This window comes from Homo sapiens, chromosome 6, assembly GCF_000001405.40.
Source record: "Homo sapiens chromosome 6, GRCh38.p14 Primary Assembly".
Lineage (NCBI taxonomy): Eukaryota > Metazoa > Chordata > Mammalia > Primates > Hominidae > Homo > Homo sapiens.
In genome coordinates, this window is record NC_000006.12 from 159,231,051 (window position 1) to 159,245,398 (window position 14,348).

The 14,348-nt window shown below is 43.7% G+C and overlaps 1 protein-coding gene and 1 long non-coding RNA gene across 4 annotated transcripts in view, besides 1 other annotated feature; both read left to right on the plus strand.

The window, feature by feature from the left end:
* The window catches only part of FNDC1 (fibronectin type III domain containing 1), a 102,709-nt gene that overhangs the window by 61,651 nt on the left and 26,710 nt on the right, over positions 1-14,348 (plus strand). For all 3 annotated transcript variants that reach the window (NM_032532.3, XM_011536190.3, XM_011536191.3), the window contains 4 exons: positions 832-3,429; positions 5,165-5,265; positions 7,504-7,615; positions 8,467-8,907. In NM_032532.3, coding sequence (NP_115921.2) covers positions 832-3,429; positions 5,165-5,265; positions 7,504-7,615; positions 8,467-8,907 — 3,252 coding nt within the window. The remainder of the gene's footprint in view (positions 1-831; positions 3,430-5,164; positions 5,266-7,503; positions 7,616-8,466; positions 8,908-14,348) is intronic.
* Positions 7,094-7,278: a silencer, noted in NCBI's record as "fragment chr6:159659176-159659360 (GRCh37/hg19 assembly coordinates)". NCBI's record gives its function as "represses an EF-1alpha promoter that drives an FKBP-Casp9 reporter gene in an ReSE screen in K562 erythroleukemia cells {active_cell/tissue: K562}" and the evidence as "EXISTENCE:reporter gene assay evidence [ECO:0000049][PMID:32094911]".
* FNDC1-IT1 (FNDC1 intronic transcript 1) lies at positions 9,702-12,279 on the plus strand. The gene is made up of 2 exons (NR_046831.1): positions 9,702-10,107; positions 12,136-12,279. It is a non-coding gene; the product is annotated as an FNDC1 intronic transcript 1 (long non-coding RNA).

Below are 14,348 nucleotides of genomic sequence, written 5' to 3' on the forward strand. Positions count from 1 at the left end.
GGAAGAGGGAAATTTTTGTACTGCCTTAAAAATTACAAATTGGGGCCGGGCGCGGTGGCTCACGCCTGTAATCCCAGCACTTTGGGAGGCCGAGGCGGGTGGATCATGAGGTCAGGAGATCGAGACCATCCTGGCTAACAAGGTGAAACCCCATCTCTACTAAAAATACAAAAAATTAGCCGGGCGCGGTGGCGGGCGCCTGTAGTCCCAGCTACTCGGGAGGCTGAGGCAGGAGAATGGCGTGAACCCGGGAAGCGGAGCTTGCAGTGAGCCGAGATTGCGCCACTGCAGTCCGCAGTCCGGCCTGGGCGACAGAGCGAGACTCCGTCTCAAAAAAAAAAAAAATTACAAATTGGTTGCTCGTCACACATTCCCCATCACTTTGAGTATAGATTATTCAGCAATTTGCACCAGGTGTATTCATGTTTCTTGTCTATTAAGGACAGCTATAATGCATTTGTAATACACTGACAATTAGTTTTATTAAGAAAATCCTATATAAGATTTTGCATTTATAAAATAAATGAGTTACTTCAAAGTACTCATTTCAGAATTTCTTCAAATAATAAGATGTGGCATAACCTGGTTCAATAGAGATTCAATTCACTTATATTTTCTAGGACTATATTTGTTACTTAAAGCAAAATATAAGTTTTAAAAAGAATGCTATCGTTGAGAAAACACGTTTCCAGTGTTCTAAGGAATTAGAAGTTAGCCATTATGACTACTGATTTGAAATGCCTCCATATGCTGTTTTAAATACTGTGTCTCACCTCCGCTTTCGCTTTTGAGTTTCTTCTTTGACAGGCAATTCTTTAAAATCTGTTGCAGCCAGTAAGGCGGATGTTGAGCAGAACACGGAGGACAATGGGAAACCCGAAAAACCTGAGCCTTCCTCACCTTCTCCCAGAGCTCCAGCTTCCTCCCAACACCCCTCTGTGCCTGCTTCTCCCCAAGGGAGAAATGCCAAGGACCTTCTTCTTGACTTGAAGAACAAAATATTGGCTAATGGTGGGGCGCCCCGAAAACCCCAGCTTCGCGCCAAGAAGGCAGAGGAGCTGGATCTTCAGTCGACAGAAATCACTGGGGAGGAGGAGCTGGGTTCCCGGGAGGACTCGCCCATGTCACCCTCAGACACCCAAGACCAGAAACGGACCCTGAGGCCGCCAAGTAGACACGGCCACTCGGTGGTTGCTCCCGGCAGGACTGCAGTGAGGGCCCGGATGCCAGCGCTGCCCCGAAGGGAAGGCGTAGATAAGCCTGGCTTTTCCCTGGCCACGCAGCCCCGCCCAGGGGCGCCCCCCTCGGCTTCGGCCTCTCCTGCCCACCACGCGTCCACCCAGGGCACCTCTCATCGTCCTTCCCTGCCTGCCAGCTTGAATGACAACGACTTGGTGGACTCAGACGAAGATGAGCGCGCTGTGGGCTCCCTCCACCCCAAGGGCGCCTTCGCCCAGCCCCGGCCAGCCCTGTCCCCCAGCCGCCAGTCCCCGTCCAGCGTTCTCCGCGACAGAAGCTCTGTGCACCCCGGCGCAAAGCCAGCCTCGCCGGCCCGGAGGACCCCCCATTCAGGGGCCGCAGAGGAAGATTCCAGTGCCTCAGCCCCACCCTCAAGACTTTCTCCACCCCATGGGGGATCATCTCGGCTGCTGCCCACCCAGCCACACCTGAGCTCTCCACTTTCCAAGGGCGGGAAGGATGGTGAGGACGCCCCAGCCACCAACTCCAATGCGCCATCACGGTCCACCATGTCCTCCTCCGTCTCTTCTCATCTCTCGTCCAGGACGCAGGTCTCTGAGGGAGCGGAGGCTTCTGATGGTGAAAGCCACGGTGACGGCGATAGGGAAGACGGCGGAAGGCAGGCGGAGGCCACGGCCCAGACGCTGCGGGCCCGGCCTGCCTCTGGACACTTCCATTTGCTCAGACACAAACCCTTTGCTGCCAACGGGAGGTCTCCAAGCAGGTTCAGCATTGGGCGGGGACCTCGGCTGCAGCCCTCCAGCTCCCCACAGTCGACTGTGCCCTCCCGAGCCCACCCCAGGGTTCCCTCTCACTCTGATTCCCACCCTAAGCTTAGCTCAGGTATCCATGGAGACGAGGAGGATGAGAAGCCGCTTCCTGCCACCGTTGTCAATGACCACGTGCCTTCCTCCTCCAGGCAGCCCATCTCCCGGGGCTGGGAGGACTTAAGGAGAAGCCCGCAGAGAGGGGCCAGCCTGCATCGGAAGGAACCCATCCCAGAGAACCCCAAATCCACAGGGGCAGATACACATCCTCAGGGCAAGTACTCCTCCCTGGCCTCCAAGGCTCAGGATGTTCAACAGAGCACAGACGCGGACACGGAGGGTCATTCTCCCAAAGCACAGCCAGGGTCCACAGACCGCCACGCGTCCCCTGCTCGTCCGCCCGCAGCACGGTCACAGCAGCATCCCAGTGTTCCCAGAAGGATGACACCCGGCCGGGCCCCACAACAGCAGCCCCCTCCTCCCGTCGCCACGTCCCAGCACCACCCGGGACCCCAGAGCAGAGACGCGGGTCGGTCACCTTCCCAGCCCAGGCTCTCACTGACCCAGGCCGGGCGGCCCCGCCCCACGTCGCAGGGCCGCTCCCACTCCTCCTCGGACCCTTACACGGCGAGCTCCAGAGGGATGCTCCCCACGGCCCTCCAGAACCAGGACGAGGATGCCCAGGGCAGCTACGACGACGACAGCACAGAAGTCGAGGCCCAGGATGTGCGGGCCCCCGCGCACGCCGCGCGCGCCAAGGAGGCAGCTGCGTCCCTTCCCAAGCACCAGCAGGTGGAGTCTCCCACAGGCGCAGGGGCAGGTGGCGACCACAGGTCCCAGCGCGGACATGCGGCCTCCCCCGCCAGGCCCAGCCGACCCGGCGGCCCCCAGTCCCGCGCCCGGGTACCCAGCAGGGCAGCGCCGGGGAAGTCGGAGCCTCCTTCCAAGCGGCCCCTGTCCTCCAAGTCCCAGCAGTCGGTCTCAGCCGAGGACGACGAGGAGGAGGACGCGGGATTTTTTAAAGGCGGGAAAGAAGACCTTCTGTCTTCCTCTGTGCCAAAGTGGCCCTCTTCCTCCACTCCCAGGGGCGGCAAAGACGCCGATGGGAGCCTCGCCAAGGAAGAGAGGGAGCCTGCCATCGCGCTTGCCCCTCGCGGAGGGAGCCTGGCTCCTGTGAAGCGACCTCTCCCCCCACCTCCAGGCAGCTCCCCCAGGGCCTCCCACGTCCCTTCCCGACTGCCGCCTCGCAGCGCTGCCACCGTGAGCCCCGTCGCGGGCACCCACCCCTGGCCGCAGTACACCACGCGCGCCCCACCTGGCCACTTCTCCACCACCCCGATGCTGTCCTTGCGCCAGAGGATGATGCATGCCAGATTCCGTAACCCTCTCTCCCGACAGCCTGCCAGACCCTCTTACAGACAAGGTAGTTTATTTTTTCAAACAGTCTTTCTTTAAGGTGTTCAGTGGTGTTCATGGCAATGCCTAAGAAGTTTTTATTCTATTGCATTTAGCACCTACTATGTCCACGCACCGTGTTAAGAGCTTTGCACATGTGACATAATTTCATCCTCTGAACGGTCCCTAGGGTTTGCATTGTTATCCCTGTTTTCCAGATGCAGAAGCTGCGGCTCAGGATCTGAGGGGCTTGCCCTAAGGCAGACACCTCAGAGTTGCCATTCCAATTCCAAATGGCCTAATTTCACAGCCATTACTAACCCACATTGCCTCTAATTCCACAGTCTTTTCACTGTCCTACATTGCCTCTTTGAATTCTTTGGCATACACTCTTAACCTGTGAAAATGTGTCACAACCATGATGCCCAACTCAGGTTCTTCTTAGTTGTTCAAGTGCCGCCATGTGTTTAAGGGATCCATAGAAGCTGGTTAGATACATATGTAGGCTTATCTTGTTCTTGTCTTTATCTTGTTCTCATCTTCTGCATGCAAAACTCTCAACCAAACAAACCCTGAGACAAACTCAGATATCTTGGGTATGAATTGCTCAGACAGTGCAATTAGTGCATGTTGTCTAAAACCTCCAGAAAATGTATGTTAAAGATCATTGTCACAAAGAGGAGTTACAGGCAGATGTGTGCTTTGTATTTCTATAACAGAGGGTTGAACAAAGTCCGCTATGAACTGGAATTTATGTCCAGGGCAGGGTCCGAGGCATTTACCATAAATTTGCATTCAGTTAAATGGTGCTTTAAACCCTCCTTGTATGTAATTGGGGCTTTATAGAACATTCTTGAATGAATGTATTTTTTTTTTTTGCAGATCTGTACAATGCATTGTTATTTTAGCCCAATGTAAAGACATAGAACAATGCCCCATATCAAACTCAGTTTTCCACTAAGATTGACTGTTTTAATCAAACCTAGCACCCTGAGAGTAGATGTAAAACTCAACGTTCCCTTGTATATAGCAGGAACTCCATAAATATTTAATAAATAAATGAAGGAATGAGAGAAATAAGTGTCTGACCTGCGAGTAGCGGTCAGAAAGCCCAAGCACTTTGCCGAGCGGTCAATGCTGGACCAGAGTAGACTGGAGCTGATGAGAAACATCTCCATGTGAGGCAGAGACAGACAGAAACAACAAGTGTAAGGGTGCTGCTGCATCTTCTTACTGTCTGAGCAAATACTTCTCAAGCAGCCCCACAGCGTTCAGCAAGCTTTGAGACAGCATTGTGCTTTTATACTCGGCGATTGGTGATTGGGACCTGAGTCAGCTGGGAATAGCTGTGTTTAGTTTAACATCCCCAGAAAAGTGGGACAGCATCTAGTACATTTTAGACATAATTTTCTCTATCCTTCCAATCCTTCCTTCCTCCAACTTCCACATGGCTAAAATAAAGCTACAGCTACTAAGATCTTAAGTTTTCTATGGCAAATTTACTTATGCCACACACTCTCATTCCCACAGTATTGTCAGAAAGCTGTGACTTTACTGTATTCTTAATTGACATTCATATCTGTTGTGGAGAAGTCATAATTTGAGACTATCATTATCTAATATATTTGAGCTATTGGTTTAAAATTCTGTTTAGAGCTTCTATTTGAAATGATGTGTCACTACTAATAGTTTGGTATGAAGCCAACTTCCCGGGCATGTTGAATTTACCAGGCTCTGTTATTTTTATTTTTGGTACTGTGTAGGTTATAATGGCAGACCAAATGTAGAAGGGAAAGTCCTTCCTGGTAGTAATGGAAAACCGAATGGACAGAGAATTATCAATGGCCCTCAAGGAACAAAGTGGGTAGGGTAAACTTCTTTACACATCCCCGTTGTTTTCATGCTGTTGAGAAGAGAAAAATGGTGGACATTGTGTAATGATAAATGAAGTGGTCTTTGTTTGTTCTTCTTCTCTAGTTTTAACTACTTATATGTACTTGTATAGAGTTTATTTTAATACTCGGAAAAATCTGTGGTTCTCCTGGTAACTAGCTTGTTTTCTTCTCATAGCCAAGATAAGGCATGGGCCTTCGTTTTTCATTTGCCTTGACTGGTTAGGAAGGTCAAATGAATGCATGGCCCAACCATAGCAATTATAGACCCAATGGATGGCCGTTCAAAGGAACTTATATTTTCCCTGTCCTGGTAGCTTCATTTTATTTTTAGGTTTTGTTTATTGTTTGATTAAACATTACACATATTTTCTGTAAGTCATCTCAAATCCTTTCTCAAAGGACACAGGGTAAAAATAAACAAACAAAAAACCCTGAATGATACTGGAAATTTTTATTAGATCATCTTTTGAATCTTCCAACAAGTGTTGGACTAAAATTATGTATTAGTATTTCATGTATGTCTAAACAGCTTTAATTGCTTGGGGTTAAGATAAATGTTTAGGAGGTTTTGGTGGGTTGAGGGTAACAGAACACTTTACAATATTCAGGAATTTAAAGTACTTTTTCTAAGAATAAAAAAATTATTTATACTGTAATTCCCAACCAAAACTTCCCATTTATAATGATAAGGTTTAGGGAAATGTACTAAAAGACTATGACATTTTCAGTCATAGGTGATCTAAAGATGCATGTTATCATTTCTTAAAGGAAGAGAAATTTATAGTAGGAAGAATGCACATTAAAGCAAAATGCTATTGCAAACAATTTTGAATGGAAACAGCATGGGGTAGATTTCAAAATAGAGTTTATATAAATTTTATTTTAATGCCAAAACAATACCCACCAAAGTGGCTTGCTTGCAGGGCTTCCTCCAGTAGCCTGAGTGTCTAAAGCAGTGGTTCTCAAACTTAAGCCAGCTCAGGATCACTGAGGATTTTGTCAAATACAAGTCTCGGGTAGGGCTGGGTGATTTGAGTATCTGACAAGTTCCTATGTGATGCTGAGGCTTCAGGTCCAGGACCATGCTTTGAGAACCACCAGCAAAGAGCACGAGCTTGTTCCTTAATAGAGATAATTATAGCTTTCTTCAAGTTTTACAGTTCCTTAGAATGTGACGTTTTCTGCATGCATACTATATTAGGCAACGTGATTACAAATTATATTGTTTTTGTTACAGCAACTTTGATTTTTAACATTAACAGCAAAATGGAAAGATTTTATGTCTTTAATATGCTAGCAATTCACATTCATTGCAAGAAGTTAAAACAATTCATATTGAAATATATGAAACAGAAAATAAACATTCTTCACCCAAACTACTTCTCAAAGATAACCACTGTTAACCATTTGCGGTATAACCTTCCATAATTTTTTTCTCTGCAGTTTTAAGCTTATATATGCAAATGGATATATCTTTATTTTTGCAAAATAACCAGCCCTGTAATCTGAGTTCACATATACGTAGAACGTATGTAGAATTGTCTGCATAATATTCTACCACATGGATGGGCCACAAATTATTTAATCTCTTCCCTCAACTGAGAGACACATTGTTTCCTTCTTTCCAGCATTAGACACAATGTACTTAATGGTAAAAATATTTTGAACATCTTTTGTGATTTGAGAAACTTAAAACAATTTACATGTTATATGGGTAAGCAATTATAATATGAAAGATGACTGTTTTGTACTTTTTTTTTTTTTTTTTTGAGACGGAGTCTTGCCCTGTCACACAGGCTGGAGTGCAGTGGCGCGATCTCGGCTCACTGCAGGCTCTGCCTCCTGGGTTCACGCCATTCTCCTGCCTCAGCCTCCTGAGTAGCTGGGACTACAAGCGCCCGCCACCGCGCCTGGCTATTTTTTTGTATTTTTAGTAGAGACGGGGTTTCACCGTGGTCTCGATCTCCTGATCTCGTGATCTGCCCGCTTCGGCCTCCCAAAGTGCTGGGATTACAAGCGTGAGCCACCGCGCCCGGCCTGTACTTTACTTTTTAAGACTTTATGAATGATATTGACAAAAAGAATGTCTTCTACTCACATTACGGTTTCCTTCTGTGGAAGCTTCAGGGGTATATACATATATAATTGGACTAATGTGATCATTTCAAAATGTCCAATATATTCTTTAATCTATGTCATGGATTTAGGTTGTGGACCTTGATCGTGGGTTAGTATTGAATGCAGAAGGAAGGTACCTCCAAGATTCACATGGAAATCCTCTTCGGATTAAACTAGGAGGAGATGGTCGAACCATTGTAGGTAAGGGAGAATGGTTTTTAAAGAATAAAAGCCTACTGAATTAGCCATAGAATTACAGCTTCTATCTTCCTTCTCCCCCTCATTTATAATGAATGGTCATGGGTTAGTTACTTTTACCCATGTGAGAAGAAGAGCCTCAAAAGAGGCAGAACTTGGTGTTTCCCCCAGAGAGCGTTAGTTCTCTTCCTGCAGGCTGCACCCTCTAGAAAATGTGGCCCTTTACTTTGTTCTTAAATTGGCCCTTTCAGAGGAGGGGTCCGCAAACTACAACCTGTAGGTTGTAGCCCACTACCTATTTTTGTAAGACCCATGAGCTCAGAATAGTTTTTACATTTTTAAATGATTGCCAGAAAAAAGAATATTTTGTGGCATGGTAATTACGTGAAATGCACATTTCAGTGTCCATACGCAAAGTTTTACTGGAACACAATACACTCACTTAATTATGCACTGTCTAACTCATTTTTTATGTGTTGTTTATGTATTGTCTATCTTCTTTTTTGCACTCTAAAAGCGGATTGAGTAGCTGCAATAGAGACCATACGGCCTATGAGGCTTAACATATTCGCTTCCTGGCCCTTTACAGAAGAAGTTTTCCACCTTTAATCCAAAGTAACACTTTTCCCCCTTAGGCATAGGAATGAGGCAAAGGAAAGTATTTCTTCCTTTGCTAGACACAAGAGTTATCTCAGGATCGTGGAGCATACTGATGCAATATTCATTTATCCCTTTGCCTTTTACTGATTAAAACATGATAATACATAAGCTTTGAGAAGACACTTATTGCTTGCTTTTTATTTTCTCTGGATTGCTTCACCTTGTTGCATAGCTATTGGTTGATTTTGTTTCAGATCTGGAAGGGACCCCCGTGGTGAGTCCTGACGGCCTCCCACTCTTTGGGCAGGGGCGACATGGCACACCTCTGGCCAATGCCCAAGATAAGCCAATTTTGAGTCTTGGAGGAAAGCCGCTGGTGGGCTTGGAGGTCATCAAAAAAACCACCCATCCCCCTACCACTACCATGCAGCCCACCACTACTACGACGCCCCTGCCTACCACTACAACCCCGAGGCCCACCACTGCCACCACCCGCCGCACGACCACCACCCGCCGCACGACCACCAGGCGTCCAACAACCACAGTCCGAACCACTACGCGGACAACCACCACCACCACCCCCACACCCACCACTCCCATCCCCACCTGTCCCCCTGGGACCTTGGAACGGCACGACGATGATGGCAACCTGATAATGAGCTCCAATGGGATCCCAGAGTGCTACGCTGAAGAAGGTAACTGCCTTTGTTCTAATGCTAACTACTTACCAGGCACACTAGCACGCCGCAACTCAGAGCAGGGTGGCAGAGCCTGCAGGGGAGGTATGAGCACCGTGCACAGCAAAGCAGCAACCCGATGCATTTTTGGTCCCAGCAGGTTTGTTTGACAGTACCATGCCACAGCTAAGGTTGGAAGACTTAGCAAATAAAAATATTACATGGGACATATTTATATGAAAAAAATTATTTCCTGTTCACTTAAAGTCAGATTTAACTGGGCATCTTTTGTTTACTTGGTGATGCTTATCACAACCCAAGTCAAGAATTTAGCTGAAACTTGTGACATTATTTGTTTGGACTAGCATTTCCCAAAGTGTGTTCCAATGGATATTGTAGATTAGTGGTTGTAATATATATGTATATACTTAAAAGGTTCTGTGATTAGCTATGTGATTTAAACAAGGTTGGATAAGTTTCTTACTGTTGTAATACTTAGATCACTGAATAGTCTTGTTGAGAATCTCCAAGAAAAGGAATGTTTCCCTAGCATGTTCGGCAGCTGAGCACTTTTTTGATCAGCCCTCCTTTGGAGAATGCCAATCCTCATGTAGCTGGGCTTCCTGTGGGAGTGTGGGCTTTCCACTGGGTAAGAATGCACCATTTTCCCTTCTCTGCTGATCTGCACTATCCTGCCGCCCCTGATGTAAGTCTGTCTTCCTTCTGAAAATGGCTTGTTCTCCCTGAAGAGCAGGAGCTAGGAGACCTTTATCCAGGTCATCGTGGAGCCCGTATATCAATATATCTCCATCTTTTCTGCTCAGTCCCCTGCTCAAGCTGCTTTGGAAGAAGTCATTCTAGATTTGCATCAGGCATGGAGGAGAGAGATTCATCTTCTTTCCCTCAGTTTGAAATGAATTGCAATGTCAATTATAAAGCTTAAGTCTTTTTAAACCAAGGCAGAGTGAAGATGTTTCCTTTCAGGAATCAAGCTGGAATTCTTATGCAACGTTATTGACTATGATAAGCCCAATCAGTTTGAACATGAATACTGTATCCAAAATGGGAATTCTGTTGGAAGTTAGTCTTTCCGTGAAAAAGTTACAAATAAACAGGAAAACTTGACACATCTAAAAAATTCACACCAAAAAAACATGGAAACACGTACAGAGGGAGAGGAACAATGGGAAGAAAATTTCTACTCTGTCCATTGACCCAGTGAGTATAAATTTGAATTTACCTTTGAATTTCTAGTATTGACATCTGACCTCTGCATGCATTAATGTGTTTAATTTTAAAGACTGAAATATAATTAAAACATAATTAGTAATTGGTCGTAAACAAAAATTGACTATTTTGGATTTGATTTTAATTACGGCTGCTATTATTTCACATTTTATTTTGTCTGCTTTTATTTAGGCCTTCCAACATGTTCTCTTCATCTACTTTATATTTTTGGACTTTTATTTGGCATGAAAGTCAATATTTTTCCTGGCATTTTTGCCTCTTATTTTCTTTGCAAATCATAACATATATATGTTCACTCCTGTCCAGTCTCCTGATTCCCTAGTCGAAGCTAAAGAATAATTTTCCTCTGGACAGCATTTGAAAATAAGTACAAATCAATACACAGTCTTATGGAAAAGTTAAATGTGGGGACAGTAACATATCATCCTCATATCGCATTTTAATGCACTATAATTTGTTAGTTTAAAAAGACTTCCATATGCCCTTTCTTATTTCTACTGTTTCACTAACAACTTCATTAAACATTTTCTTCTTTATTAACTGTAATCATAGTTATTTTTATCTTTTAATCTTTTTAAACCACTTTCTTGATGTATGCATAGAAAAAGTTCTGCATATTTAATCCATACATGTCGATGAGTTTGGGATAAGAATACATTCACAAAATCATCATCCCGCTAAGGCCACAGACACATCCATCACCTCCCAAAGTTCCCTCCCACTCCCACTCCTTTATTGTTAGTATTCTTCTTTTTTCTTTCTTTATAGTAAGAGCACTCACCATGAAAGTGGTATTTTTTTGTGATAAGAAATTAAATTTTTACTATTACAAAGATACATGCACATGTATGTTCATTGCAGCACTATTCACAATAGCAAAGAGATGGAGTCAACCCAAATGCCCATCAACGATAGACTAGATAAAGAAAATGTGGTCCATATACACCATGGAATACTATGCAGCCATAAAAGGAATGAGATTATGTGCTTTGCAGGGACATGGATGGAGCTGGAAGCCATTGTCCTCACCAAATTAACACAGGAACAGAAAACTAAACACCGCATGTTGTCACTTGTAAGTGGGAGCTGAACAATGAGAACACATGGACACAGGGAGGTGAACAACATACAGTGGCGCCTGTCAGAGGGTCAGGTAGGGGAAGAGAGAGCATTGGGAAAAATAGCTAATGCATGCAGGGCTTAATACTTAGGTGATGGGTTGATCTGTCCAGCAAACCACCATGGCACATGTTTACCTGTGTAACAAACCTGCACATCCTGCACCTGTACCCCAGAACTTAAAAATAAAAATTAAAAAAAGAAATTAAATTTTAAAAATGTATTAATACTAGCTCTGTTGAGATAAAATTCATATACCATAAAGTTCATTCTTCTAAAGTTAGTGGATGTTAATATATTTACAGTTGTGCAATGATCACCACTATTAGATTCCATAATATTTTCATCACCCCAGGAGAAACTCCGTACTCATTAGCAGTCAGCCCTCATTCCTCCCTCCTCCCAACCCATGGAAACCACTAACATACTTTCTCTCTCTATGGATTTACCTATTTGGGACATTTTGTATAAATGGAATCATGTCATATGTGGCTTTTTGGGTCTGGCTTCTTTCACTTAGCATAATTGTTTTCAAGATTCATTCACATTATAGAATACATCAGTACTTCATTTTTTTTATTCCATTGTATGGATATACAGCATTTTTTCCATTCATCAGTCAGTGGTCATTTGGGTTATTTCCACTTTTTGGTTATTGTGAATAATGCTGCCTTGAACATTTGTTTTGTTTGTTTGGTTTTGTTCTACTTGATCTGACTTCTCTGTTGGATAATAAACTCCTTGCAGTTGAGACAATGTCTTCTGCTTCATCTCTAATTCCTTGTGGTACCTAAGTATGTACCTTTGGATATCCAAGCAAGACCTTAAGGTATAGGCATTTTCCATGTCCTAAAAGCCAGTGCTCTTTTTTTTTTTCAGGTTCTGTATCTACAGCAAATCTGATAATAGATGATATATATGGAATGTGATGAGCCAAATGAACATCTTCAAGAATTTGTAGCATGACCTTGTTAAAAGTTGCAGAAAAACATCAGTCATTATGGAAAACAGATCTTCCCCACCACAGCTGGGTCTCCAGATAGAAAATACTGAGAAATTCAAAAATTCATTTGAGCTGGACCAACTGTACAATGTGCAAATATCCCTGAGTTTCAAATGGCTGTCATTTACCTTCTGTCTCTAAACTTCTACTGAGAATAATTTTTAAAAATATTTTGTAATATCTCTGGAGCAAAAGCCTTACTTCTTTGGTGACATTTTTCACTTATTTTTTTCATGTCTACTTGATAAACTACTGAAGAGAATAAACAAAACGACTATGGTTGATGGCTGGCAACTATGTTTATGTGAAGAGGCTGAAGCTTTTCACATTGGTGCTGAGTTGACTTGTAAAATATCCAGTTTTACATAGTTCTGAATGGTTTAAAATGACATTCAGGTGGGCCAAAGTAAGGTGGTCAACTTTTTTTTTTAATTGTAAATATATTTCATTACATCTGAAAGTTATTTTTACTTGGAGCCAGGATGGTTCTATTTTAGAAAAATTATGCCTATGTTTATTTGGTCTTAAGAAAAAGAACACCAAAATCACCCAGTAGATTGTTTACTTAATGCCAGAGGACTTAACTGTCACTCATCTCAGGAAGTGAACTCATTTGCTGGTAAAAGCATCATTTCTGTGGCCTGCTGCATGCACTGGAGTATTTCAGCACCTCAAGGAGTTACCCATAACACCAGAGTCCATGAAGGAAATGATATACTTTTCCCTTTTCTTGTTCACCCTGTGATGCAAAAACCTTACAATGTATTTATTTTTTATCTGGCGAAAAGCAATAATGAAAAGAAATGACACTGAACTGATAATGAGGAAAAGCAAGACGACATTCCTAAAGGTTAAATTGACAAGGGAAAGAAAATGGTAGGCCAGGAAACAATGGCAAGATAATCCCAAAGTTTACAGGGTGTGAACCTGAAAACTGATTTGAATAAGCTCAGAAGTAATTTGTCTTGGATCCCAGGTATATTGACATTGGAATGACCAAAGGAAAGTTTGTGTTTAATACTTTTTCATGAAATGGCCATTCCACCCCTAAACGGATGGATAATTTACAACTTCTCTCTGCTTAACATTCATTGGCTGCATCAGAACACACCAGAGTCATTGCCTCAAGGGCCATCTCTTGGGCCTCAGAATAGGAGCTGGGGGCTTCTTACTGTGATCCCAGGAGGGCTGGACAGACTACTCGAGGTTGCCATTGCCCTTTGTGGGTGGAGTTTGTTTTTACAATGTAATATTCATGTCATTCAAACTAGGCTAAAAAGGCTGGTAGAATAATGACATAGGAGTTTATATACCTTCTACTTCAATTTCCCCTTAATTACACTGTGGAATGGTGATTTTAATAGAGCATCTTCATATTTACAAATAATTTTATTGGTTAGTTCAACTTTTAAGAAGTGGGGGCAGTTTTATGTAGTATAAAGTAAGTAGTCTTTGGAGCCAGAGTACCTGAAGTTCACATTCTCTTTTTGCTGTCTTTTACCATCTGCATGTCTCAGGCATGCTGTAAATCCTCCCAGAGCCTTGGTGTCCTTGGCTGATGTATTAGTCCGTTTTCATACTGCTATAAAGATACTACCTGAGACTGGATAATTTATAAAGGAAAGAGGTTTAATTGACTCACAGTTCTAAATGGCTGGGGAGACCTCAGGAAACTTACAATCATGGCAGAAGGGAAAGCAGGCACATCTTACATGGTGGCAGGCAAGAGAGAGAGAGTGAGAGCGAGAACGAGAGAGCAAGTGTGCAGGAAAAACTACCATTTATAAAACCATCAGATCTCGTGAGAATTTACTCACTATCATGAGAACAGCATGGGGGAAACTGCCCCCATAATCCAATCACTTTCCACCAGATCCCTCCCTGGACATGTAGGTATCATGGGGATTATAATTTAAGATGAGATTTGGGTGGGGATACAGCCAAACCATATCAGCTGAGAAGTGGGTATTTATAAGCTCAATGTATCTCAAGCGTTTGTTGTGAAATTATATATACATAAAAGTGGCTGATACACAGAAGACATCTGGGAAATCATCCACTAGTCACTTCTTCCTGTTTTCCCCACCTT